The following is a 26,630-nucleotide window of genomic DNA, read 5'->3' as shown; positions in this document are numbered from 1 at the left end:
GTCCGAGGAAAGAGATTCTTTCTGGGATCTGCTTGATCTGAAAGAATTACTTAGTTTTTATTAGAGTTCTGTGAGTTTCAACAGTTCTTTGAAAATGGAGAGGAAATCTAATCTCTCGTTCAGTCCAAGATTCCCCCCGACAGTGCCCTGAATGATGAATGTCCCTCTGAGAGTCTGTATCTCAAGCAATGTACAAATTGCTTTTATTTCACTAACTTATTCCATATGCTTCCAACTTGAATCAGAAGCAGTTAGAATGGTCTTGCAGTCTAATTTTACTCCTATGAATGATATTTCCAGTTTACAGAGAGGGAGGATGGAGTGTGGTTGGTATCTTTGACTGATAAAATCTGTACTGAAATACCATCAGTTTCAAGACTCTGTGGCTAAGGATGAGTATATGGTCTGCAGCTGAGAAACTCAACTATACCAGGAGGAGAAGGGGCTTGTTGGCACTTCCAGGTGAACTGGGGAGTTCAGTTATCCATAATACAGATACTTTTTAAGTGTTGGTCTTCGTTGCTGATTTAAAACTTCGATGCCATTTTAGGTGGTTTCTCGTAAATTTAATTCAGTACCTGGCAGATTATGTTCCAGGTAGGTTAGCTGCAAGATTTAACCCTGGTCTTCTTTGGCAGCTGATTTATGGAGACTGCATTGCATAATGAGCAGAATACAAGCTCTAGAATGAAACAGACCTAGGTTTAAATAATGATTTTGTCTGTCACTGCCAGTATGACCTTGGACAAGTCATCTAACCTTGCTAATATCAGTGTCCTTTTATAAAAAAGGAGAATAATGCTACCAACTTCATAAGGTTGATTTGAGGATTAAATGAGATAATGTGTGTGAAGCACTTAGTGCTCTGACAATAGTAAAAGCTCAATTAATGCAATAAATATGTCACTGTTATCCTATATGCCCCTTAATTACTGAATTGTTAGGTGATTCAGAAATAAAACTACTCTTCTTCCTTTCATTTATTTTCCTTTCTTCCGAGATGGGGTCCTACTATGTTGCCCAGGCTGGCCTCAAATTCCTGTGCTCAAGCAATCCTCCTGATTCAACCTCTCAAGTGACGGGGACTGCAGGCACATGCCACCATGCCTGACAAAACTACTTTCAATAATAGTTTGAGATAGTTGTAATTAGAGCTGTAGTGCACAGCTTTAGATTTCACATTGACCTTTGGATTATGTAAGATCACTTTGGGTTTTTCCCTGCTTTGGGTCATATGGAAGAGTGCTCTTTCTCTGTGCACATGAGAGGGAAAGGGGGATTTGATGGGGTTGGAGTGGTAGGCAGGAGTGTGATCACGCCTTTGATATGGTTTGGCTGTGTCCCCACCCAAATCTCAGCTTGAATTGTAATAATCTCCATGTGTCAAGGGTGGGGCAAGGTGGAGATAATTGAATCATAGGGGTAGTTTCCTCCATACTGTTCTCATGGTAGTGAATAAGTCTCAGGAGATCTGATGGTTTTATAAACAGGAGTTCCCCTGCATAAGCTCTCTTGCCTGCTGCCATGTAAGATGTGCCTTTGCTTCTCCCTTGCCTTCTGCCATGATTGCAAGGCCTTCCCAGCATGTGGAATTGTGAGTCCATTAAACCTCTTCCCTTTACAAATTACCCAGTCTCAGCTATGTCTTTCTTAGCAGTGTGGGAACAGATTAATACAGCCTTGTAGGTAGGTAAGCTAGGTAAGGAATTTAGATGCTATTGCAAGTGCAGTGGGGAACCAAGGAAGAGTGGTGAAGTAGAGGATGGACCAAGTGCTCTGAGAACTAGCTAACAGAACAGTTAATGACAGGGAGAGGGAGGTAAGGTTTCAGACAGGAAGTGAAGGTTGAGCTATGCCTTTGCTCTTCAGTTGGCAGAGCAGGAAGATATTTCAGGGAGAGGGATAGTATGGTCAGGGTGTGAAAATGCAAGGTGTGTTCAAGGAAGCATGTGACATGAGGTATGATTAGAGCAAGGTGATGGTCTTGGGGTGGCAAGCCCTGACTATGAAGGGCATAGTGTTCCAGGGCTCAGAGCTTAGACATGGTTCTGAGATGAAGGATGGTTTAATCTGGGGAGTACCATTTGACAGATAACTCTTGTAGCATAACTCCGCTGGAGTGGAGGAAGACCATATCCAAAGGTAGCCATTAGGAGTGCGATTGCAGCGCTTCAGGGGATGAAGAAGGGAGACTAGAGTGAGAAGAGCTTAAAGGAAGGAGTGACAGGACTCAAGACTCACTGAAGAATGGGGTAAGGAATCTCAAGAGTTTGCCTTTCAAATTCTTAGTTTGATTAACTGTCTAGAAGTTGATGCTGTTAAGTGAGTAATAAAAGGGAAGAGGTTTGGTGGGGGAAAGAAGGTGAGTTCCACATGAGATAAGCTGGAATTTGGACATCTATAAGAGACTCTGCAGACAGTAGGAAATAAGTGCCTGGAGCTCAAGAGAATTTTGGAGACTTGAGATATGCCTATGGCTGTTATAGATGGAAGCATGAGGTGAACAGAGCACCATGGGCAGAGGAAATAGCAACAGATGTAAAAGGAAAGGAAGAGAAAACCAGGAAGGAGATGGGAAAAGATAGAGAGATAGGAGGAGAACCAGGAAGGAGTAGGGTTCTGGAAGCTGGGGGCAGTGTTTCAAAGGCAGAAAGGTCACATAGGATGAAGGCAGTAAAGAGGTTTTTGTGTTTGATGGCTAGCATGCGATTGGTGACCTGAGCAATAGCAGTTTCATATAAAATTTGGCAGGGCGCAGTGGCTCATGCCTGAAAGCCCAGCACTTTGGGAGGCCAAGGCAGTGGATTACTTGAGCCCAGAAGTTCGAGACCAGCCTGAGCAACATGGTGAAACCCTGTCTCTACAAACAATACAAAATTAGCTATGCCACTGCCACTCTAGCCTGGGCAGAGTGAGACAGTTTCCAAAAAAAAAAAAAAAAAAAAAAAGGCAAGATTTGAAGTGTGAAAAATGGACAAAAAGAATACAGACAACTTTCTTTTAAATAAGCTTAATCAAGCAAGGAAGGGGAGAATTAAGGTGATAGTTTATATGAGTAAATAAACAGCTGTGGAAAAATACCAATTAAGATGGGAAAGGCCGGGTGCAGTGGCTCATACCTGTAACCCCAGCACTTTGGGAGGATGAGGCAGTCAGGTTACTTGAGGACAAGAGTTCAAGGCCAGACTGATCAACAAAACAAGATTCTGTTTCTACACAATATTAAAAAAATTCAGCCAGGCATGGTGGTGCATGCCTGTAGTTCTGGCTACTCAAGAGACTGAGGAGGGAGAATCGCTTCTGCAGCCAAGGATTTTGAAGCTGCAGTGAGCTATGATTACACCACTGCATTCCAGCCTAAACAACAGAGCAAGACCTCATCTCTGTCTCTCTCTCAAAAAAAAAAAAAAAAAAAAAAAAGATGGGAAAGGGTTAAACAGGTTTTAAGCTAATGTGAGTAAAGTGTCAGTAGGAGAGATTAAAAATATTACATATTAGAGTAAGACTAACTGAAGAAGTTAAGACCATGTTATCCTGAAGGAGAAGAACTTCCTATGAGATCAAGAACAAAAGTGAGAGTTAAAGGAGAGGGAGCTTCCTTTTCTGTCCTAGGCTGAGACAGGAGGAAAAGAATTATTTATAGGTAGCATATCTTGTTTGTTAGTAATTATATGGTAGGAACTGTGCTGAGCACTTTATGTGCCATGTCTTGTTTCATCTGTACAATCACCCTATGAAAATACATACTCCCATTTTATAGATAATGAAACTGAGGCTCAGAGCTGTGAAGTAACTTGCCTGAGGCCGTACACTTTGGGGTAAAGCCCAGGACGATTCCAGACCCCTTACTCTTGTTCTTAACCACAGTCCTAGTCTGCCTCCTGCTGGTGAGTTCTCCCGTTTTCTCTGGGAAGTAGGGAGTGAAATATCTGCTGAGAATGAGTAGAAGTGAGGTTGGGGCTTGAAAGTACCAAAGGTTTGGGGCAGCCACTTGAGGAACAAGAAAAGGCACCAGCTGGTGTTAAGCTTAAAGCATATCCAAGCGAGACGGAGGACCCAGTCGAAGCCAGAGTTCCTAGGGAGGTGATGCAGTCAGTTAGGACGTTGGCTGATGCTCTCTGGAAGTGCAGCAGCAGAAGGGAGTAAAACCAGTTGTTTTGTTGATCCAAGAATAAGCTGAGACATGACTGACCAAGGATCCCAGCTGGGAAGGACATGAAATCAGAAAGAGCCTGGTAGAGGGGCAATAGGGACAGGAGGTCTTAAGTGGAAAAGCAGGCTTGGTGGTAATGAAGTAATGGAACACATAGGTGGAATGGGTATTATGGTCAGAGAGTAGAGTTTCTAAGTTGAAGCTTTCAGGGATGGTGGTGATAAAGTGTTCAGTTTTTTTTTTTTTTTTCTGGGTAACTAACAATCTCAAAGGACAAATGTTTGTTCTTTCTCATGGGTCTGTGAGTTGGCAGGCATTCCACTGATTTCAACTGGGCTGACCTGGGCTGGTTGTGCTCCAGGCTGCAGGGCTTAGGCAGAAGGGACAGCAACCATCAGGGGATGCTCTTCTCAGGGTGGGTCGCAGAAGCACAAGAGGTCAAGCCAAACACACAGGTGCACATAAGGCCTCTGCGCACATCACACTCACCCATATTCCACTGGCCAAAAGAAGTCACATGGCTAAGTTCCCAATGAGTGAAGTAGGGAAGTATATGCCATCCCAAAGGAAGAGGGGTGGATAAATATTTCTAAACAATACTTCAGTCGCTCCATGTGAGTAAGGGGGTTTGTTCAGGGTGCAGGGGACAGGAAGGAAAGAATATTTGCATGCAAGAAGTCAATACAGCAAATGGTAACAAAACAAGGATAGCAGTCACCCAAATGTTATGAAACAGAAAATATTAATATTCAGAAATCCTGAGCATGTGTCTTTTTAAATAGCACCTACTGGTCAAATCTTGGGTTGCACCTTGGTGTAAGACGCTGTTTATGGAGCCTCATTGATTGGGCTGGTGATTGTGTCCATTTGAGGGTCCAGGCTTTCTCAAGGACAGCAGAACTGGCTCAGAGCAACCAGTCTATCACCTAGGCAGGCAGAACAGAGAGCTCACACCTTCGTGCATTAATCTACCCATCCAGTCAAAAGATATTTCTTGAATGGATGCTTCTAGGTGCTGGATGTACAATGATAAGCCAGACGGGCATGGTCTCTGACATCTTAGAGCTTGCGCTTTAGAGAGGAGATTTTTTTTAAAGTTAAAAAAATAGAATGTGGTCAATGCTATGAAATTGAAAAAACAAACTAATGGTCAGATTCTATCCGATCTGTGTTGGTTCAGTTTTGCTTGTTCAATTACGTTATGCTTGTTCTGAGAGCCTCATTCCACACAGTGTATGTTACCACTGCCATGAGCACTGATGGAGCATTTCTTATGGAGCACTGGGCTGGTCACCAGGGAACACAATGATTCCGCAATGAGTTTACAATCCATCTGTGAAAACAGTGCTTGACCATAAGAAGACATCAATATGATGTTATTAGGTTCTTATCACCCTCACCTCATACTGGCACTAAATAAATGTGTAGGGAATTCATAGGAAGAAGTAATTCATTTCACTCTTTGTTGAATGCCTGCCTGGTGCTGAGCACTATGCTGCCTGCCTACGTTAAGGGTCGCCTACATATGGCTGGGACACAGCGCCGGAGCCCCATGGCAGTGCAAGCATTTTCCCACTAGATGGCGCCCAAGCGATCCTTTCAGACAACGTTATCCTGAAGGCGCTTCCTTCTGAGTGTCTCTGAAGAGCCTGGGCATTTTTTTTTCCTGAGTACCATACAGAGCCTTAGAAGGAGGGAGGAGTGGCGGGCAAGTGCCAGAAGGATCAGAGCTGTTTTATATGTGGGTTAGAGAGCATCTGGCACTGAACAGATGCAGTAGCACCTTTATTTGCTCACTGTCCTTGACAATGTTTATATTACTAACCTAACTAATGACAACCTTAAAATTCATTATGGAATTGATTCATGCATAACCATTGGCAGGTTGTATTATCCAGGAGGATGGGCAAACGGCCTGAGGCTATTGAGCCCAGGAGAGAACTTATTCACATCTTTCTGCCCAGGAAAGATTGGTTTAGTAATCTCAGAATATCCAGACTAAGAGCTACTGGCACTTTATCGCCATTAAAAAAAGAGCTGTTCTTTCTACCTTTCTCCACTCTTTAATGTAAAACCTTCAATTCTACAGAGAGTTGAAAGAATAGTATACATCCATATGCTCCTTTCCAGGATTTGCCACTTTTTATCATTCTCCAACATCTGGCTCTCTCTCTCTTTTTCTGCACTTTAAGACTCATGAATTTTAATTTTTTTCTGTTTCATAGTGTTATCATAATTTTTCTTTTGATGCTTAGATTGTTTCAGATTTGGCCCGTTAAGCAGGCTGCACCTCATTTCTCCTTGAGCACTTACTTGCATTCTACCCCTGACCCTCAAATGTTTTAAGTTCACCTTGATTTTCTATGCCCAGGTCTTGAAACAAGCTATTTCTCCCTGCATCCTGGTTTCTTATAGTGGGAAATTGTATTTAGGAACTGCGATTTGGGTGCTGGCTATTAGAGGTGCTGATATCCAAAGTCGAAACCAAGGCTTCCTCTTAGGGTTTCTTAAACTCAAAAGTTGCGTTCTGAAGTGGAACCACTCTGCTGACTTCCACTGCTGACCACTGGACTGGTGTTGGTTTAGCTTGGCCCTAGGCTGAGTTCCTTGGCCATCAAAAAAGATGAGCAGCAGGAGGGCCCAAGAGCGACCCAGAATGCCACACTTCTAGCTGGCATGGCAGTGATCCCAGCCTTTCAGTCCCTGAAGGATACTGGGCATCTAAGGAGGTTAGGAAAGCAACCCAGATGAGAGGATTTATGGGGAGAGATTATAGGTCCTTAATACATTTATCTTCTTAGTCATATTTTGGACAGAGGCAGAGAAACAGAGGAACTGGCCATAAGCCATGCCCAAAAATGTTTGTAGGGTGAGTTATCGGAGAGGAAGAGGATTTGTGCAGGCCGATTCCTGAGCCATAAGTAGGAATGATTAAGAGCAAACTTAAGGGGAGTGGGGAGAAGGCTTACAAAGCTGTGTGTTACTGACTTTCGGGGCTGCCCTCCAGGGGAGCTGCGGAATCGCCTAGGGTGGAGTTACTGAAAGCTGCCTCATCTCGCTCCAGACTTTTGTGTCCTGATGCTCCCAGAAAAAGAACAATGCTCAGGTCGATTCAAACTGGGGATGGTATTAGGTGGCAGTTAGCAGCCTGGGCTTGGATTTGAATCTCTGTTTCTTTCCTGGCTTTGGGCAAGGTTACCCAATCTTTGTGAATCTCAGTTTCCTCATTTACAAAATTGGGATCCTCATAGTGGCCTTGAGAGTTTTTGTGAAGATTAAGTGAAGAACTGTCTATAAATCCCTTAATATGGAGTCTGGTATATAGTAAGTGCTCAATAAATGGTGGATAGAGTCTGGTATATAGTAAGTGCTCAATAAATGGTGGATGCTATTCTTATAATCCAGAGCCATGAAATGAGCTCTATTTGTTAGTTGTTGTTTTGGGTGGCAGGGGAAGAAATCAATATAGGGCCAGAGAAGAAAGATAATAAAAGAGAAGCCTTTAAGGTTAGAGAATACACACTGGGCACAAGGAGGTAGTCTTCACCAGACAAAGTATTGTATGGCAAATAGTATTTTATATTTTATGTGCTGAAGCTCTTTGACCACAGAGAATTCATGTTTAAATCTTTGCAGAGGATTTTATGTTGTTAAAGAACTCATCAATCATAGCTCAGCTTCTGGTGAAGGTATAGAAGGATGTGAAAGACCTTCCCTCCTGCTCAAACAGTAAGAAATCACTAGATTAAACCAAAGAAAATAACAGTTTTCATTAAAACCATAATATGAAATCTAAAAGAATTTAAACTCCAGAGGGGTGAATTCTTCCAGGATGAGCAAGAGATTCGGGATGCTTCATACTTGAAGGCAGCTGCTGCGGTTGGGGGCAGGGCAAGTGCAGGAAGGGGCCTACCAGAGAAGGAGGAGGAGAAGACAGGAAAACTTTTGAATCTATGGGCTGACCAGTTGAACTTAAATCTAGAAGAGACTCCAAGGCAAAGACAATCCTCTCCACCAAGTATTTTATTAAATGGAATTTGCCTGTGCAAGCAGAGGCTGGAATGAGGCTACGAAGCAGGAGATCTTGGGATGTTGTCACCTTGCAGCTTTATAAGCTTGTGGTCTCAAAGTCTCACAGTCTCATGGGCTCACAGCTTCCCAGTCTTGTAGTCACAGGAGTGCAGGAAGCTGGGGGAAGGAGGAGATGAAAATCAAAGAGAGATTTCCTTAGGTTTATGGGGTTTGAATTTCAAGGCTCTTCTGGTGAGATTATAGCTTCAGTCCTGCCCCAAATCAGCTTAACCCTTGATTGGGTCAAACTGATTCATCCCTGATCAGTTCTCCCACCAGCCTAATAGAGGAGAGGGCGTTTGCAATCAAAGGAAACAATAGATCTCTTGTTGTGAACAAGCAAGGAAATAAGATCTACATTCAAGAGAACAACCAGTCAAAAGAAATAGAGCATGGGTGATGAAATGGAAATTTTCAAACAAGAAACTTTTACATAACTTTAAAATAAATGCACTAAAAGATTGACAGGAAAAGATGACTATAATGGATGAAGACATGAAAAATTCACCAAATCAATGAGCAAAAATCACAAACATTCCTATACATCAACAATAGACAAGCAGAGAGCCAAGTCATGAATGAACTCCCATTCACAATTGCTACAAAGAGAACAAAACACCTAGGAATACAGATAACAAGGGACATTAACTACCTCTTAAAGAGAACTACAAACCACTGCTCAAGGAAATGAGCGAGGACACAAACACATGGAAAAACATTCCATCCTCATGGATAGGAAGAATCAATATTGTGAAAATGGCCATACTGCCCAAAGTACTTATAAATTCAGTGTTATTCCCATCAAACTATCATTGACATTCTTCACAGAATTAGAAAAAAATTACTTTAAATGCCATATAGAACCAAAAAAGAACTCATATAGCCAAAACAATCTTAAGCAAAAAGAACAAAGCTGGAGGCATCATACTACCTGACTTCAAACTATATTACAAGGCTACAGTAATCAAAATAGAATGGTACTGGTGCCAAAACAGACATACAGACCAACGGAACAGAACAGAGACCTCAGAAAAAACACCACACATCTACAACCATCTGATCATCAACAAACCTGACAAAAACAAGCAATGAGGAAAGGATTCCCTGTTTAATAAATGGTGCTGGGAAAACTGGCTAGCCATATGCAGAAAACTCAAACTGGACCCCTTCCTTACATCTTATACAAAAATTAACTCAAGGTGGATTAAATACTTAAATATAAAGCCCAAAACTATAAAAACCCTAGAAGAAAACATAGGCAACACCATTCAGGACATAGGCATGGGCAAAGACTTAATGACGAAAATGCCAAAAGCAATTGCATCAAAAGCTAAAATTGACAAATGGGACCTAATTAGACTAAAAAGCTTCTGCACAGCAAAAGAAACTATCATCAGAACAAATAAGCAACCTACAGAATTGGAGAAAATTTTTGTAATCTACCCATCTGACAAAAGTCTAATATCCAGAATCTACAAGGAAGTTAAACAAATTTACAAGAAAAAAACAAACAACCCCATCAAAAAGTGGGCAAAAGATATGAACAGACACTTCCCAAAAGAAGACATTTATGGCCAGGCAAGGTGGCTCATGCCTGTAATACCAGCACTTTGGGAGGCTGAGGCGATGGATCACTTGAGATCAGGAGTTTGTCACCAGCCTGGCCAACATGGTGAAACCCTGTCTCTACTAAAAACACAGAAATTAGCTGGGTGTGGTGGCATGCTTCTGTACTCCCAGCTACTTGGGAGGCTGAGGCAGGAAAATTGTTTGAACCTGGGAGGTGGAGGTTGCAGTGAGCCGAGGTCATGCCACTGCACTCCAGCCTGGGCAACGGAGCAAGAATCTGTCTCAAAACAAACAAACAAACAAACAAACAAACAAAACAAGAAGACATTTATGCAGCCAACAAACATATGAAAAAAAGCTTAGCATCACTGATTATTAGAGAAATGCAAATTAAAAACACAATGAGATACTATCTCATGCCAGTCAGAATGGTGATTATTAAAAAGTCAAGAAATGATAGATGCTGGTGAGGCTGTGGAGAAATAGGATAGCTTTTAAACTGTTGGTGGGAATGTAAATTAGTTCAACCATTGTGAAAGACAGTGTGGTGATTCCTCAAGGATCTAGAACCAGAAATACCATTTGACCCAGCAGTTCCATTACTGGGTGTATACCCAAAGGAATATGAATCTTTCTACTATAGAGACATATGCACATGTATGTTTGTTACAGCACTATTTACAATAGCAAAGACATGGAACCAACCCAAATGCCCATCAATGATAGACTGGATAAAGAAAATGTGGTATATAATATACCATGGAATATTATGTAGCCATAAAAAGGAATGAGATCATGTCCTTTGCAGGGACCTGGATGAAGCTGGAAGCCATCATCCTCAGCAAACTAACACAGGAACAGAAAACCAACCACCACATGTTCTCACTCATAAGTGGGAGCTGAACAATGAGAATACATGGACATAGGGAGGGAAACAACACACACCAGAGCGTGTCAGGGCCTGGGGAGTGAGGGGAGGGAGAATATCGGAACAAATATCTAATGCATGCAGGGCTTAAAACCTAGATGATGGGTAGATAGGTGCAGCAAACCACCATGGCACGTGTATTCCTATGTAACAAACCTGCATGTTCTGCAAATGCATCCTGGAATTTAAAGTAAAATAATAAAAAAAGAAAAAGAAATTCAGGAGAGATTTGAAAAGTATTTAAAAGAACACAATGGAAACCCTAGCACTGAAAAATACAATAAAAAAGAAACCAACTGGAAATCCTAGAACTGAAAAATGCATTATCTGAAATAAAACAAAAATTCATTGGAGGGGATTAATGGCCTATTGGTCAAAATAGAAGAAAAGATCAGGGAACTTAAAGACAGTTCAATAGAAATCAACCAAACTGAAGCACAGGGAAAAGAGACTGAAAGTATTTAGCAGTCTTAACTCTTTGTGCTACCCTAGCCAGACCCTGTCCATTGAGTTGTATTAGCAGGGCTATTTCCATGTGAGTGTTTTGTGATAACCCTGGCAACTTTGGGTGAAGAAAGACTTTCTGCAGCAAAGTGGTAGATGCTATTCTTTCTGAACAACCATTTTTTCAACTGAATGGACAGGCCATTTGACATGGGGTGGTGGGGAGGGGCTTTAAAAATGGTTTGTTTGGACAGAAATAAGTTTGAATTGGTTTTTTGGTCTAACTATTCATTCAGTTAGTAGTTATGGTAATTGAGCACTGACTTGGCGGAGGCAGAGGTATAAACAGGACAGATGATATTCCTGCTCTCGTGGAACTGCGTCATGGGGGAGGCAGACAATTCAATAAACAATCATAGAGTCAGGTGGATTGGGGTTATATGTCAACTCACAGGCTGAGCTGAGGACTTGTCATTGTTCCTGATGAACACCTGAGCCCCTGATAAAAGCCAACACGTAGTACTTACTATGAACCAGGCATCATTCGGAGTACCTTCCTGTACTGACTCATTTAATCCCCATTGCAACCCTTGTCACAGCCATGTGACAGATGAAGACACTCAGGCACAGAGGGATAAATAACTTTTCTGCTGTCATACAACTTGTAAGTGGCAGAGCCAAGATGAAAATTCAGAAGCCAGCCCCAGAGCCCCTTCTTTTATCCTCTCCACGAAACCATCTCTTGATGTGAGAGCCCTTAGGGTCTTCATCATCTAATCCTTGGCTCTGCTATCACTGTCTGGGATGCTAAACCTGTTGGGTTTAGGGTTCTAGCCAGTGAAGAGATGAGGCTCTCATGAGCCCTGGAGCAGTGGGTCAGAACCTGAGCTGTCCCCTGTGATTCCTGGACCAAAACAATCAGTGCCTCAGATCCAGACAAGACTCGAGAAAAATAACAATATTTGTTGCCACTTATTGAGCATTTTTATGTACCAGGTGCTGTGCTAAGTGCTTTACATACAATATCTCATTTAATCCCTAAGACAAGTGAGAAAAACACATTGTTGCAGGTACAAATATTCTCATTTCCAAATGAGAGACCTTGGCTCAGAAAATATAGTGGCCTTTTTTAGAGTCACACAACTAGTAAGTGGCCGAACTAAGATTCGGACCCCGGCTGGCATCACAGACTGTGTCATCTTTGAAGGAGGAAAGAAAATGCAAATGCCTCTCTCTGAATTTTTTTAAGTCCTCCTTTTCTTTCTAAGAGGAAACAGTAAAGAAAAACAAAACCCAACCACTTCTTAGAAGTGTGTGTGTCTCTCCCACAATCCCCTCCCCTGCACCAAATGCTGAAGATAAGAAGACTTTTGTCTGAGGCTAAGGGTGTTCATTTTTGTTGAGAGCCTTTTCCAGCTGTCTTACTGGTCTAGAAATTAATAAAGATTTCCTTTCAGTTCTGTAGAAGCAGGGACTATCCAGCCGCCCCTCCTGTTTGGGCACGTAGCCATGGGGAAAGATCGGCAATGAGGCCAGGATTTGAGAGCTCAGGGCACAGTCCAGCTTCACTGACAGATATCACTACACACACACAGACACACACACACACACACACACGCCCACACACCTATACCCCTCTTCTCCTGCAGTAAGACATTGTTAAGGAATCTGAGCACATCTTCCAGGCTCTTTGCCTGCTCTGGTCTTTCAGACTCAGGACCACCTGCTAGGTTGGCCAACGATACTTCCTTGGCAGGGACACTCAGCTGTGTTCACTGTTCTGCCCTAGACAGAGAGGTGTAGTCAGGCTGCCCCTGCACCCAGCCTCGCCAGCTCTCCAAGTAGAGGCAAGAGTGGAGAGGGAATTGAAGGCATTCCTTGATGTGGGGAGGGAGCGCTCCCTCCTCCTCTTGCTGTTTCCCTAATATACCTTCTTCCAAACACATTTCCAAGAAGTGGCCCCTTTGTCTCTGGTTGTTTGGAAGTTGTTCCCCATCTTGGGGCCAACTCTGCCCTCCCCTTCAGAGTGAAAGGAACCTCATTAAGAAGAATGGAGATGTTGCATGTGTTTAGAATCCTGGCTGCTTCTGAAGGACAGCCCCTGAGGCTACAGGAACAGGTGGTCCAGCATTTCACATGGCCAGGGATCGGGCATCTGGGTGAGGATGGGGACTGAGCCCTCCAGAGACTGCAAGAGACCCTGGAGCTGGCCAAAGCCCAAATGGATGTGCCAAGGAAGCCTAAATGGGGATGAGCACCGCCTTCCCTTGGATTTGGGGAGGGGCCTGAGGCACAGCTGGCTGCTTCCAGCTTCCATATGGAGAGAAGAAACTGGGAGCAGGCTGGCAGGATTTGCTGCTGGTTCTAAATTGGGATCCCCAGCAGGAGGTTTGCTGAGGGAGCTGGGATTTAACACCTTACAGGCTGGGAAGCTGCCAGTCCCTGAGGGACGGGGGCTGTGCAGGAAGGCTTCTTTTGTTGTCTCTCACACCCTGCATATCACTTCCGTAGCCCAGCAGCAGATGGGTAGATGGGGGCGATGAGGAGTGTGAGGTGTGCAGAGAAGGAACGTGCATTTCAAAAAGGGAGCGGGCAAAAATTCCATGTATCTCTCTTAGGGGTGGAAAAATTCTGCCGTTTCAAAATGGAGTGGGAGAGGACTGGGTCAGAATGCCCCTAAGACAGTTTAACATATCAGCAAAGACTCAGCGTTGATACTAGACAGATCCAAGGTCATATCTCTGCTCTGCCACTCGATACAAACAGCTAACATTTACTAATTTTCCTGCTAAGAGTTTGCCATGCACGATTTAAGCTTCACAAAACCGTATACAGTAGCTGCCACTTTTATTCACATTTGATTCAAGTTGACTGAGGTTCTGACAAAGGAAGTAACTTGCCCAAGGCTGCACGGCTAGGGAAAATAAAGCTGAGTTTCAAACCAAGGGCAGTCAGATTCTGCAGTCTCTATTCTTAACCACTGCTTTACCATTAGGATAACGATTTACAGTCTTCTAACTTCCTGGCATCTGAGTTTAGGGAAATCACTTAACTTCTCCATCTTTAGTGTTCCACATCTAGAAAATGGGGAGATGAATGTTGTTCTCTGTGTTTTTTTATGAAGACTAAATGAGAAAATACAAATGATAATATCAACATCCTTTTATTCAACAAATATGCAGTGAGCACCTGTTATATGCCAGGTACCATTCTAGGTGTACAAGCTAGAAAAGATCCCAGCTCTATCAAAGGGAGTAGGCAAGTAAGTGAGATAATTTCAAATAGGCGTGTGTATTATGAAGGAAACAAAGCAGAGTAATAATATTGACCATAGAATTGGGAGGGCCTGTTTTAGCTGGATAGCAAGGAAGGCCTCTTTGAAGAAGTGGCAGTCGAACTTATTATTTTTATTATTCTATGTTTTTAGATGAAGTCTTGCTCTGTCACCTAGGCTGGAGTGCAGTGGTGCAATCATATAAGCTTAATTCTTACAGGAAAGAGATGCAGAAGAAGATGAGCCTTCTAGGTTTAGAAAACAGCAAGTACAAGGGCCGGAGTTGGGCACAGAAAGTAGGCTGTGTCTAGGGCAGTGGGGACAAGCAGATGAGTGGTATGTGAGACTGGGAGGAGTGTGGGTTTAGGCAGCCAGCAAGGCAGAGCTGCAAATAACATAGGAAGGTGTCTGCACAGTGGAGAACCTTTGGAGGGCTTGAATCAAGAAGATAATGTGATCTGATTAATTTATTTAAAAGGTGGCTTTGGATGCTAGGTGGACAACAGTATGTTCGGGAACAAGGGTGAATGGCGGGTGTATTTGTTTTCACTCTGCTATGTAGAAATATCTGAGACTGGGTAATTTATAAAGGAAAGAGGTTTAATTGACTCACAGCTCCGTGTGGCTGGGGAGGTCTCAGGGATCTTACAATCATGGCAGAAGGGGAAGCAAACGCGTCCTTCTTCACATGGCAGCAGGAGAGAGAAGTGCCAAGCGAAGGTGGAAAACCCCTTATAAAACCATCAGATCTCATGAAAACTCACTCACTATCACAAGAACAGCATGAAAGTAACCTTTCCCATGATTAAATTACATCCCACCAGGTCCCTCCTATGACATGTGGGGATTATGGGAACTACAAAGATGAGATTTGGGTGGGGGCACAGCCAAACCGTATTACTAGGAGATGAAGGAGGAGATGAGATTACAGAGAGAGATGATGGAGGCTGGGGCTAGACAGGAGCCCCAAGTGGAAACTGGTGGATGATGCTTTCCATCATTGGCACAGGGCAGCAGCAATAAAGATCTTAGTGAAGAGATAGATTGTATGACCTAGCAGTAGTTTTCACAAAAGTAAGAAGCCTCAGACCTCATAGCTTTGTCAAAAGTGGAGTTTGGGCTCTTTTCCTAACACTAGAAATATTACTACTGTCATCTTGCCATGGTGCAGTATCCACTAGTAATATTTTTATTTTTAGTTATGAAATTTTGTACTTTTGGGGAGTTATTGAATATAACTATGCATCCAAGTTTAAGAAGGCAATCTGGATTTCTGTATAGAAATAGGGAAGGTAAACTTTTTATGTGAATAGCCGGATAGTAAGTATTTTCATTTTCATGGGGCCTACTGTCTCTTGCTATAATTACTTAACTCTGCCATGATAGTCCAAAAACAGCCATAGGCAATACATAAATGAATGGGTGTCACTGTGTTCCAATAAAACCTTATTTTCAAAAGGAGGCAGTGGGCTGTATTTGGCCCAAGGATCATAGTGTGCAACCCCCAGGTAGAGAATATCATTTATTTCATGATCCAAATAATTTTTCCATAGAGCCACTTCAAGACATTTTCCCCAAACTTTTGGGTACAAAAATACAGTGCATTTTCTATACCTGTGCTTATCTTAACACTAGAAAACATGATCTAATTTAAAGACTATTCAATACGGTGGTTTTCAAATCTTAGGGATTCCTTGGAGGTAACTCAGCAGACTAGGTAAGGATCGGGGTGGAGGGTTTTGGGCCCCTACTTCTGCTTTAACCAGGAGCCCCTTTTTTATACATTGAGTTTTATTGGTGATCTTGATAGGACTTTATTTGAACAAAAGGGGTTGGGAGCAAGAAAAGAATGAGAAAATCATCAATCCAGTCCAACTGGTTGGAAATCATCTCTCCTTTCCACTGTCATGCATTAAAGAGGCATTTATTACATAACTACTCATAGAATAAATTAATGCCTTGATTTCCTGCCTGGATGGTGGAGGAAAGTGAGTAGAGCTGTGGGGAGGGTCTACTTTCTGAGCCTTTTAAGGTAGGGGCAGCAGGCTGGCATTTGTCAGGCCTGGAGAGGAAGGATGATAGGGTGGCTCGAACTTTACATTCAAACACAGTTAGGTTTGAGTCTTTGCTCCGTCACTTAGCGGCTAGACAAGTTATTTATTTAACTCTCTGATCATCTATCTGTTTTCCCAGCTGGAAAATTGTGAGGACACCACTTCCCTTCCCAAGCTGTTGGGTGGATTAAATGAATTAATCTATGTAAATTGCCTGGCACATTGCCAGCTGCTTGAGAAACATTAATTTCCTTCTTCCTTTTCCCTATTCATCCTGTTCTCAGGGGTGTGGCATGTGCTCAAAGTCTCGTTGAGACCTTCTCTAGTCTCTTTCCTATTGACCTCCATTTTTATGTCCCAATCTTTTCTTCTTTTCTTAGGATGTGGCCAGGTTCTGCGAGCCCCAAAGGGTCAGATTTTGTTGGAAAGCTATCCCCTAAATGCTCACTGTGAATGGACCATTCATGCTAAACCTGGGTTTGTCATCCAACTAAGGTAAGGAGCTGGGGCCAGAAGTCAGGAGTCTGAGGTTATAAGGATACAGAAATGGGATGGAAGGCTCTTGGTCACTGGGATCCTCTGGAGCCTTTGTATATTGGAGCCTTTCTCTTTACCACTCTGATTCTCTGGGATAAGGCCTGGCTGAAACTGCAGCCAACTAAATGCTTGTCATCAACACTTTAGAACCGTGGGGCTCAGATGATTTTGACCCAAGGATAACGTCAACAAAGCAAAATACTGAGAGCAATCTACCCATCCGCAAATCTTAAACAGTGTTTCCTACTTACTCGGACTGGGCTGGTTCCTATGGGAGGGATGTAAAGAAATAAAAGGCACAGGCCTAATTTTCAAAGAATTATACTTTAGATTGGGGCTGATGCTTGTCACAGCTCCTTTAATTGGGGCTTTCAGAAAAAAGCAAACATCCCACAACAAATAAACTAATTCTCTCACCTGTGTGGAAGATGAGTCATTTCTTTTTATGGAGCTTTAGGGCCTTCGCAAATGTTGTTTATGCCACAGTCCAAAGTATAGATCCTGTTTTATTGTAACTATTGATAAATGCTACACGAGGGTCCTGTTTTGTGAGAACCGTTCATGACTGCATCATAGTGCTGGAACAGTTCATGGCACACTATAGTTGCATGATAAATGCTTGTTGCATGAATAAATGCTGAAAGAACTGCCTTCTGATTGCAGTGTATCTTCTCTCTAATGAAAAACACCTCCCGCTTTCCTCACTCACCCCTAGAATGGCTAGGGTCATTGTCCACTTAGCTCTTCTCATTTTAACCCTGTGGTGACAGTGAACGGATTTAAAATCCCTAATCCTCTAGGGCACAGGCTTTCACTAAGTATATTCTGGGTGGCTAAATGGACACAGAGGTTACCACATGCTACCTGGCTCCTTGAATGTCTCTCTGTCCTCCAGGAGGGGCAACATGGTACCCTGAATTAGAAAAATCCAGCAAAACAAGTCCCCTTCTCAATCTTCCTCTTCAAAACTAGTGCATGACAGCTTGTGTTTCCACTCCCTGAGGACGTGGGGTTGGGAATGAGTCTCATTAATTCCTAGAGGAAGCCTGGCTCAAGGAACAAGCGATGAACCACACTGTTCCGCCCATTGAGCTCAAGGCTGGGTCTGCAGGGATGATAAAGGTAGGTGTTAAATGCTGCATGTTAATATTTCAGCAGCTCAGGGACCAAGACAAATGGTCCCCTCTGGGCCTCTGAGGAGCTTCTCCAAAATCCAAGATGCAAAAGGATATTCTAAAATAGCAAAACGGTGGAGGATTGAGAAGCATATTAGCTGCCCAGGAAAGGGCCTTAGGGAGTCATGGAAATGTGTGGATTTCTTTTCCTTTAGTTAAGTCTGGAGCACCTGGCCAGGGACAGTAATAATGATGGAAATACTTGGAAGCATAGGCACAATGTTCAGCCCCAAAGCCCAGCAGGTGTCCCTGATGCCCCTTTTCCATCACCTACCACCAGACCACCACAAAGTCTATTTTCCTGCTTGAAAAATAGTCCATCCACAGCTCTCTGTCACCACTGTCACCATTCTGCTTCAAGCCACACCCATCTCCCACTGAGATTCTGTCATGCCCTCCTAACTGGCTTCCTGGCTTCCACTCCTGCCAGCTCTGCCATCTCCTCTCTGCAGAGTGGCTGCAGGGAGCCTTTAAAATCTGAATCCGGCATTATCCCCTTGTTGAAACCTTTCAGAGGCTTCCTATAGACTTGGAATAAAATCTAGATTCCTTACCACACAAGATCTATCGCAGGCTGCCCTCACTGGCCTCAGATCCTATCACTCTCCCATTCATTCACCACCTTGCAGCATCCCTGGCTTTCTTTCAGTTTCTCGAACATGTCAACCTCATCATTGCTCCAGGGCCTTTGCACTTACAGATTCCCCTGCCTGGACCACTCTGCCCCATGACCTTCACAAGGCTGGCTCTACTGCATCATTTAAACCTCTGCCCAGCTAGCACATCCTCAGAGGGGGCTTCTTTGACCACATTGTGTCAGAAACTTAACACCTTAGTCACTTTTTATGCTCTTACCTGGTTAATTTGATTCACGGCACTCAGCACTCTAAAATTACCTTGTTGTTTAGTCTCCTTGCTTATTATCTATCTTCTAACCCAGAATTAATCTCCATGAGGGCCGGCACGTGCCTAGCTGGTAGCTGGGGCACTGCTATGCTGACAGCACCTAGTACAGTGTCTGGGACAGAGCTGGCCTCCAGAAATATGTGTTCAGTAAGTGAACAAATGGACAAATGAATGCATGAACGCAAATATAGTTGCACTATCTCTTCAGCTTCGGAAAAAACTGTGGCTTCTGTCAGGTGGTAGCTTCTCCCTTACTCTGAAGACAAAGATATCAAGGCCAAGAGAAGGAGCTGATTCCTTAACACACACAGTGAGTGCATGGTGGCATCTGCATAAGAAATCAGCTGTCCTCTTAGATGTTAGAGCAGGCTGTACAAAATGCGATTCACAGGACCTACACCCCAAAAGCTCTGTGATCAACCCTTTGTGAAGTAAACACTGATGAAACTCGGTTATTGGATTTCTTTGTTAATAGTACCTTTTAGAACACTTACAATCAATATACTGATTGTCACTATATTCCAGTGTTCCCTAATGCTGGCATGTTGGGTTTTTACTGTAGGTGGCAGAAATATCCCTACTCCCAACATTTTAGGCAGCAGTTATGGGCCTTTCTATTTCTATTTTTTCTCCAGAGTGTGGAGGAGAAGGTACAGACATACATTTTGTGAACTTGATACTCATGTATTCCCTTGGGAATCCTGGAAAAATGCTTTTGCCTCTCTTGCCCTGGGATGTGGCTGCTGCTTTTCTTGTCTCTTGGAATCGGGGGCTTAATGTCATCTTCTGTGTTTCCAATCTGGTGTATCTCAGTGTTTTCAAACCCAAGACCCCTTTTGGATAAGCATGGATGTGTCAGGTTTCCTTAACCCCTGAAATTCTGACTTGGTGCTACTTTCTCTACTCTTTGGGTGAGAATTATCGTTGCCTAGAAGATAATTACCTTCTGATTCTTCCATCAAACGGAAGAGTGTGCAGAGGTTTTTTTTGTTGTTGTTGTTGTTTTCCCCTTTACTTAGTCTTGCAAAACAATATGAGCTTTTTTTCATTCTCCAACTATAAAATTACAATAAAGTATCCATTCAGTCGTATATTTGGCAATATCTGTAGCATCTCCATAGGCCAGGCACTGCGCTGGACACTGTGAAAACTGTGGAACGAGGCAGGTGTTCCTCTCTGCCTTCAAGTTACTTGCAGGCCAGTGGAGAAGACAGGCCACACATAGACACACAAAAAGTCAAGGAGGTAAATATAAGAGGTTGAAATTTATGTCTACAGTATGAGAAAAATAAGGGATCTTCTTTGGAAAGAGTGGTCAGGGAAGCCTCTTTGAGGAGAGAATATTTAAGCTTAGGCCTGAGGATAGGAAGGAACCAGCCACACAGACTGGGAGGAAAAAGTGCCCTGGAAAAGAGACCAACACATGCAAAGAGTCTCTGCATGGATTATGGCACCTTGCTCCACCTGGGCAGGCACTTGCATGTGCACATACATGCAAACAGTGCACAAATACATACTCCTCTGCTAAGAGAAATTCGCCAACCTCTGAGGACCATTTTCCTATCCGATCAGGCCAGTGACACCATCTGTTCCTCAGGCCTGTTCCTCATCTGGCCTTGAATGAGCCCAGCGGTCTCAGGACTGTCCAGGGCCCATCTGCTTCCCTCCGTCACCCTGTCCACCCACAGATTTGTCATGTTGAGCCTGGAGTTTGACTACATGTGCCAGTATGACTATGTTGAGGTTCGTGATGGAGACAACCGCGATGGCCAGATCATCAAGCGTGTCTGTGGCAACGAGCGGCCAGCTCCTATCCAGAGCATAGGATCCTCACTCCACGTCCTCTTCCACTCCGATGGCTCCAAGAATTTTGACGGTTTCCATGCCATTTATGAGGAGATCACAGGTAAAGGCCAAGGAGACAAATGTGGCATTTTATGGCTTGCTCCAGATAAATATCTCCTTTCCATGTCCCTTCCTTTCTTCCTCTCATCCTTATTAAAACCTAGTAGGCTGTGTTCTTAGAAACAGCCTACACACTGAGAAAAAAGAAATAGCAAGGTATATTTCAGAAAAACTCACTCAGAACCAGAACTAGGAATGATCTCCCTTATACAAATGGCAGTGGCTAAAGCACGGAGAGGCTGAATGACTTGTCCAAGGTCACACAGATATAGGGGCAGAACTAGGGATTTGTACCCAAGCTGTTCGGCTCTAGAGCTCACACAGGGTGACCTCTCATGGTTGGGAGCATTGGCTTTAAATCCCTGACAGATCAAGCTATGTGACCTTGGGTAAGTTCTTCTACCCCACTGGGCCTCTGTTTCCTAATGAGTGATAAGGGAGTAATAGTAGATCCTTCTCCATTAAGGAGGCTCTGAGAGACAGAACAAATGGAGAGCTTGGCATAGTCTGGTACATAGTAAGAATTCAACAGCTGCCCAACCCTAGGCATACATTTACCCTCCACTTGCCACCTATAAAATAGGTATTAAAAGACTATAATGGTAAATGTCATTGACTTGATGAGTAACTTTAAGCCTGACTGTAACTCTTGCTGTGATCATATTAGGAAGTAGGATTTGACCAAACTGAACAAAATGCTTAATCCTAAGCAATCACCCCACTCTCATCGTTCTGAGATCAGATTGCATCAGGTTTTACAAAATAAACACAGGCTTGAAGTTTGATTTAAAAAAAAAAACTGAATTAAAAAAGAACTCGTAATGGTATTCTGATCATTAAGACTTCCTTATTCATAGGGTATGACATGAAAGTCTCAGGAAAGAAGGTGGGTGGCTGAATAATCAGTGTTTCTTCAGTCCTGTCTGTTCAGCAAGGCCAGGAGACCCTGCTCCCCGGTCTACCCCTCTTTTAGGAGGCTGCCTACAGGAACTCTCAGCAGGTGCTCTCTACAGTCTCTGTGCCTGCCCCCTGTGGAGCTGTGCAGGGCCTGGGAGTTCTGATGCTTTGCTGCTGTGGTGTGATCAGCCTGTGGCTGAATCCTCTTCCCTTGGTGACACCCTGCAGGTATAGGCTGAGCAACGTCCCACATGAGATGTGTCTGTGGGGGCTTAGGACAGTCAGCAAGCCAGGTAGGGGCAGCAGTGGCTGGCCAGTCTGTGAATCTGGGACTGAGGGACGGTCAGGAGAATGTCTTGCTCCTCTGAAATGACCTCCTCAACCTCCCCTGGAGAACTTTGGCAATACTGGCCTGTGTTTTATCAATGCCGTCAAATAATACCACTTCCCATTTTTCAAACATCCCTGTTTGTTCACTTGCCTTCAAGATATTTCCTCTGGCTAAAGTCACCTGTCTGCAACCTGCACATCAAAATCCATCCTTCATAGCCCCTACTACATTCTTCCTCCTCTCCTAAATCTTTTCTCTTGCTCCAACAAGCTATGGCTTTGCCCTTTTTTGAATGTCTTGTAGCATTGCCTCTTCTTTCTTCGTAATACACTAACTATATTATGCTTCAAGTCATAGTCGTTTTATATTTTTCTTCAAGTAGTTTTAATCTGGTAAATAGGACATCCTGTTCTTCCTTGTATTTCTCCCTTGTCATGTTTTGAGCAAGTACTCAAGACAGGTTTGTTGAACTGAGCCAAGGAATATACTTCTACATTGGGATAAATGAATGTAGGATTGATGGATAACACACAGATGAATGTTTCTCAAAATCTTTTCTGTAGAAAAATAGTCCCCAGGATGCCTTGTAAAATGCAGGCTTTGAGGTCAAATAAGCTTGAAATTCACAATGTATATTAGGAAACTCACAATGTATATTGGGGCATTGAACTGAGAAGTTCTGCAGTAAAGAAATCTGGTTAATTAGCATTGAATGTCAGCAACATTTCCCTAACATATTTGAGCTCAGAACCCTTAGTAAAACACATCAACATCTCAAGGGACTAATGATTACAGAATGTAAGTTTGGAAATTATTGAATATACCTTCAACAGTGTCATAATGATTGTCTTCCAGTTGCATTGCCCCAGTACCCAGGATGGTGAGCTTTTATTTGAAAAAAGATGGTCTTCAGCTACCCAAGGATGTCTCTGTCCGCTGAAACCCCTATGGGAGAGATACAAGCATGGCTCTGCTTTCATCAATTTAATGTTCTTGTTTGCATTGCCTTGTGGTCTTCAGACTATAGGAGCGTTAAGCATACTTCTGGGGCCCTCAAAAACATCAAATAATATCACCAACATTTGATATTTAATGAGTATCTATTTTAGGCATTTTCAAATAATCATAACATGAATTCAGTAAAGGGAAGAAAAAACATTGCAAGAAGACTTTAATAAGGAATTAAAAGACTTTGGTCAAGACTCTGGGCCTGAAGACATCGACTCAATGTATAGTGGCACTGAAGGATGCCTTTTCTCTTACAGCATGCTCCTCATCCCCTTGTTTCCATGACGGCACGTGCGTCCTTGACAAGGCTGGATCTTACAAGTGTGCCTGCTTGGCAGGCTATACTGGGCAGCGCTGTGAAAATCGTGAGTATGCTTCCTAAGTGGGAGTTAAGGTGTCAGATGGGGCTGGTATGGAAGGATTTTAAGAGCTTGCAGGGCCAACTCTTTCTTCATGTCTAGGATGCTCTGTCCAAGATGGTGCACAGTGTGGATACTCCCAGTGAGTGATTCTCAGAGGGGCATAGCTGCTTCTGAGTCAGGTTCTCTTCAACTTCCTAGGTTTGTCTATTGACATTTCCAACCCTCACTTGCTGCAAATACCTCTTAGAAAGATACAATGGCCTCTAGTAATATTCAGAGCTCAAAAACACTGAAAAAGGTCAACAAACTTTCCTGTGGCTCAGTCTGTATCCCTGTCCATTCTAAGATCTGTATTTTAGATTTATACTCTGGCACCATTCACAGGCTCCAATGTGACTTATTGCATAACTTGAAGCCCTGCAATGAGGGTGGTAGATATACATTTTGCTGAGCAAAATTATTAATAGCATCCTCTTTCGTGAGCAAAGTGTCTTGAATTGGATGACAAACTATATGGTCATGTTTTAACACATGTCTTATATAAGGCCTTGGTTACCAGACCGAAAACAGGTGTCACAGATGGAAGCCATCAGCATGGAATGTGATGTGCATAAGGACAAGAATTTGGGGGAGAGCAAAGGAGGACAGAGAGTCTCCTAGGTAGGTTTTCCCAAAGCAGATCGTGAGTTGAGAATGTGTACACAAGTGAAGTGTTAAGGACAGGCTCCCTGGGGAAGCTTATAGGGGTGTGGGAAGCTGGCCTGGGAAGGGAAGGAGGCCAAGTAGGGGTGCGATTTCAGGCAAAATACCAACCTCAGTGTTAACCTGTCATGAGATCTGGAATGTACATTACTCCTTAGAGTAATGTTCTAGCTTTAAGGCAAGGGATCTGGGCTTTCATATGCCCACAGCAATCAGTCATTGGGTGCGGGCTGCCCTGGGGAACTGGAGGACATAAACCGTGGGCACATATGGCTTTCTATGCATGTGGGCAAAGTGGTTCCAGTAGCCCCTGAGCAGTTCCCTGAAAGAGAATCACAAGTACAGGCCATTGGAAGTAAAATACCATAGGATGGGGAGGGGAAAAGGGCCCACAGAAACACAGAAAATAGACCCGAGGGCAGAGCACCAACAATATCTACTACAGTCACTTCTAACTAGAGTGCACAGGTACTCTGTGGTCATCTAACAGCCTGGTCTGGCAGTATTCTCTAAAGTTTGTGTATGTTTTGAATTAATTTTCACTAATGTTTTCCTTTTTTTTTTTTTTTTTTTTTGAGATAGAGCCTCTCTCTGTCGCCCAGGCTAGAGTGCAGTGGCGCGATCTCGGCTCACTGCAAGCTCCGCCTCCTGGGTTCACGCCATTCTCCTGCCTCAGCCTCCCAAGTAGCTGGGACTACAGGCGCCCGCCACCACACCCGGCTAATTTTTTGTATTTTTAACAGAGACGGGTTTGCACCGTGTTAGCCAGGATGGTCTTGATCTCCTGACCTCGTGATCCACCCGCCTCGGCCTCCCAAAGTGCTGGGATTACAGGGGTGAGCCACTGCACTGGCCCAGTTTTCACTAATGTTTTCTTGCAAACAATGCAGATGGAAACCATGGTTTCAATAGTGGGTCCCTGTGTGTGCCATTGATTTCTACTAAGAGCATCCTTGCCCTGGTTTGGCACAGCTCACTTGAGTGTGACTGCTAGAGACATAGAAAATGATGTTCTGCTTCGTGGTTCTTGCCTCATTTGAGCCTGCCATGTTGTGTGCAAGGCAGACCAGAGAAATGTTGCATTCTCTTGGCTTCAAGAATTTGTATGTAGAGCGATTCTAGATTCTTGACAATAGCAAATACTGAGCTTCAGAGGAGGAAACAAAAAGAGGGAAGGCTTAATTTCTTGATGAACGAATTACACAATACTTTGATAAAAAAAAAAAAATAGAATTGGAAAGAAGTAAAACATCACCAGATAAAGCCAAAATGTCTTTAGGAAGCTGAGTCAAATTAGGAAAGAAAAATAAATTGGTCCAAAACTTATGATTAAAATATTCACAGGTAGCTTGTGAGTCAAAACAGATTCCTCAGCATTGTTATTCCATTAAGAAAATAAGAAACATAATGAAAAAAGAATGTAAAATATGTCACTATGAACTGATTCATAACTTAATTCACAAACTGTCTCAAATTACTTTAAAGCATCAGCATAGATGGGCAGGAAAATTCTACCTTGCTGGTTTTCAAAATATTGTTCAAAAGTCATAATTCCCTTAGTAACATGTAGTTATAGTGAAGTGAAGGTGTTACCAGTGGATATCCGATATGTCATTTACTGGCATCAGTATGGGGGAACTAAATGTTTTTTGTTTGTCTGTTTTCTGTAAGATCCAGGTTCATTTTTCCTTCTAGGAAATTTGGCATGAGTATCAACTAACTCACTGGGGGACACGTCACAAAAAATGGCTATGGCAGTTTATGTTATAATTTCTGAGTAAACCTTAGCAATTTTTCCAGAGCAGTCTATCAGTTAGAAAAGCAAAAAAGAGCAAAAAGATTTATTTTCTTGTTTTCCTCATGAGGATACCAACAAATTCAAAACATCCTGGCGGGAATTCTTTTGAAATTAGGAAGAAACCCAAGCATCTGGGGTTCCCCAAACTCTGAAGTGCCCAAATTAGACTAGGCTCTTTTTTTTTAATGGCTTTAAAATCAATATTAATGACCAAAATCAACATTAATGAGAAATCTTTCATTTATGCAGTGCCAAATCTGATGAGGGCAAATCATTTCACAGGTGCTGCTTTAATGTTCTCTTCAAGTCTTTGTGGAAAGGTAGATGCTCAGTTTTGCAAATGAGTGATTTGAAGCAGAGAATGCAAGACACTGGTCCCCATCAAATTCAAAACCAGAGGCCATAATTTCACATTTCCCACTTAGTTCACAATCTCTCAGACACGACACTTGCTGTATGTCTTGGTGAGACTCCAGATGCTTCACTGATGAACTCTGGTTACCATCATGTCCCATT

At 43.0% G+C, this 26,630-nt stretch overlaps 1 protein-coding gene across 4 annotated transcripts in view, besides 1 other annotated feature; it reads left to right on the top strand.

Moving 5' to 3' along the window:
- Positions 1–26,630, top strand: part of PAMR1 (peptidase domain containing associated with muscle regeneration 1) — a 98,474-nt gene that overhangs the window by 38,683 nt on the left and 33,161 nt on the right. For 3 of the 4 annotated variants that reach the window (NM_001282675.2, NM_001001991.3, NM_015430.4), the window contains 3 exons: positions 16,874–16,988; positions 20,800–21,017; positions 23,510–23,617. In NM_001282675.2, the coding sequence (NP_001269604.1) occupies positions 16,874–16,988; positions 20,800–21,017; positions 23,510–23,617 (441 nt within the window). The remainder of the gene's footprint in view (positions 1–16,873; positions 16,989–20,799; positions 21,018–23,509; positions 23,618–26,630) is intronic. The other variant, NM_001282676.2, reaches the window with a different exon arrangement.
- Positions 5,630–5,679: a silencer, noted in NCBI's record as "silent region_3258". NCBI's record gives its function as "represses an Ori minimal core promoter by ATAC-STARR-seq in GM12878 lymphoblastoid cells {active_cell/tissue: GM12878}" and the evidence as "EXISTENCE:reporter gene assay evidence [ECO:0000049][PMID:35858748]".

Source organism: Homo sapiens, chromosome 11 (assembly GCF_000001405.40).
Source record: "Homo sapiens chromosome 11, GRCh38.p14 Primary Assembly".
Taxonomy (NCBI): domain Eukaryota; kingdom Metazoa; phylum Chordata; class Mammalia; order Primates; family Hominidae; genus Homo; species Homo sapiens.
The sequence above is the reverse complement of the archived record's forward strand: the minus strand, read 5'-3'. Positions and strand labels throughout refer to the sequence as shown.